At 34.9% G+C, this 2,507-nt stretch overlaps 1 pseudogene across 1 annotated transcript; it reads left to right on the top strand.

Annotated features, from left to right (window-relative positions):
• ACTR3BP2 (ACTR3B pseudogene 2) lies at positions 1 to 1,338 on the top strand (annotated as a pseudogene). Its single transcript, NR_027714.1, has one exon. The product of NR_027714.1 is annotated as an ACTR3B pseudogene 2 (transcript).
• Positions 1,339 to 2,507: the final 1,169 nt, after the last annotated feature.

The raw sequence follows: 2,507 nt of genomic DNA on the forward strand, positions 1-2,507 counted from the left end.
CAGAACTTCCACTGAATACACTAGAAAATACAGAACATTTTTGCAGAAATTATGTTTGAATTATTTAATGTACCAGGATTCTACATTGCAGTTCAGGAGGTACTAGCCTTGGAAGTATCTTGGACATCTCAACAAGTGGGTGAATATATGTTAATGAGTATAGTCATTGACAAAGGAGATGGAGTCACCCTTGTTCTCCCAGTTGTAGAAGGTTATGTAATTGGGAGCTGCATCAATCACATCCTGATTGTAGGTGATACTGTGTATTTCATTCAACAACTGCTAAGGGAGAGGGAGGTAGGAATCCCTCTTGAGCAGTCACTGGAGACCACAAAAGTCATTAAGGAGAAATACTGTTACATTTGCCCTGATATAGTCAAAGAATTTGCTAAGTATGATGTGGATCCCTGGAAGTGGATGAAACAGTACACAGGTATCAATGTGATCAACCAGGAGAAGTTCATAATAAACGTTGGTTACAAAAGGTTCCTGCAACCTGAAATATTTTTTTACCCAGAGTTTGCCAACCCAGACTTTATGGAATCCATCTTGAATGTTGTTGATGAATACAAAACTGTCCCACTGATGTGTATTGTCCACTGTATAAGAATGTTGTTCTTTCAAGGGGTTTGACCATATTCAGGTATTTGAATCTCAACTACAGAGAGATTTGAAGAGTGGTACATGCCAGATTAAAACTCAGTAAGGAGCTCAGTGGCAGGAGAATCAAACCTAAGCTTACAGAGGTTCGGGTGGTAATCCATCACATGCAGCACTATGCCTTATGGTTTGGAAGCTTAATGCTAGCCTCAACTCTGGAGTTATTTCAGGTCTGTCACACCAAGAAGGACTATAAAGAATATGGTCCCAGCATCTGCCACCAGAACCTTCTCTTTGGAGTAATGTCTTAGTGTCTGCCTTGAAAGCACCATTTAATAGTGTCATGTTGGGGAACAAGTGTCCTTCAGAACCCAGAGAAGACTACCATTTCTAAATGACATTTGGTGTTGATGTCTGAGCAGCATGCTTGCATCACCTAGTGCATGAGGCACAGGGCAGAGTCATTTCAGTAAAAGCCATTTCTTTATGTGTTGACTGTTGTATGCCCACTCCTCCTTCTCTCACTCCCTTTCTTCATGCTTCCACAGTTTTCCTCCCCCTTTTCACTTGAACTTTTTTGTTGACAAATACCATTCTGAAGGAATTCAAATGTGACTCTGAAAATTGTTAAGAGGAAAAAAAATTTCAAAAATGGCCCAAAATAGTTCTCCCCCAGGAAAGAATGCAGTGGTATAAATCCTTTTCCCCCAGCCTATTTTTATAAATAAAATGTTATAAACAAAATACAAAAAACCAATAACATAGCAATATTTACAGGATGCAATTAAAGCAGTGTATAGAGGAAAATGTATAGCTTTAAAACAGAAAGAAAAAATAATCTAAAATTCATAATTAAAACTTCCATCTTAAGACTCTAGAAAAAGATGAGTAAACCAAGCCAAAAGTAAGTAGGATGTATGAAATAAAAATGTCACAGTGGAAAACGATAAATACAGAACAGGATAACATTAAAAACAACCAAAGAAACCCAAAATTGCTTATTTCAGAAAGTCAAGAAGATAAATAATATTTAGTTAAATTGACCAAGAAAAAAGAAAGAAGACACTAATTCCCAAGATCAAGAATCAAAGAGAAATATCACACAGACCCTACCCTTAAAAGGATGTTAAGAAAATAGCATAATAACTTTAAGGCAAAAAATTTGACAACTTCGATAAAATAGAACAATTCCTAGAAAGACACAAATTACCAAAACTGACTCAAGGAAAAAGAAAAAAAACAAATACCAATATCAAGTAAAGAAATTGCATCAGTAATTTCAAATCTTCCTGTAGAGAAAAAATATACTTCACTGGTGAATTCTATCAAACTATTAAGGGAGGAAATAATACCAATGTTACAAAAACTTTATTCAGCAAATAGAGGATGAAGGAAACTTCCCAACTAACTTTACTTCATTTGATATCAATATTACCCTGATATCAAAACAAGACAAAGACATTACAAGAAAACACAGCTATATACCAATATCCCTTGTGAACCTAGACATAAAAATTCTTAACCAAATATTAGCAAATGTAATTGAGTAACATGAAAAGGATTTTATACCATAATCAAATGAAGTTTATCTCAGGAATGTGAGGTTGACTTAACATCCAAAAATCAATGTAATAAACTATATTAACAGAATAAAGGACAAAACCATATGATCATCTCAATAGATGCAGAAAAGCATTTGACAGAATTCAACACTCATATATTTAAAAAAATCTCATCAACTTATGAATAGAAGGGAACTTCTTCAAATGATCAAGGCATCTACCAGAAGCCTATAGCCAACATACTTAATGGTAAGAATGTGCTTCCCTCTAGATTAGGAAACATGCAAAGATATCTGTGTTTACCACTTCTATTTAACAATGCACCACAGGACTTAATTTGTGCAA

The sequence above is a fragment of the Homo sapiens genome, chromosome 2 (genome assembly GCF_000001405.40).
Source record: "Homo sapiens chromosome 2, GRCh38.p14 Primary Assembly".
In the NCBI taxonomy this organism is placed as follows: domain Eukaryota; kingdom Metazoa; phylum Chordata; class Mammalia; order Primates; family Hominidae; genus Homo; species Homo sapiens.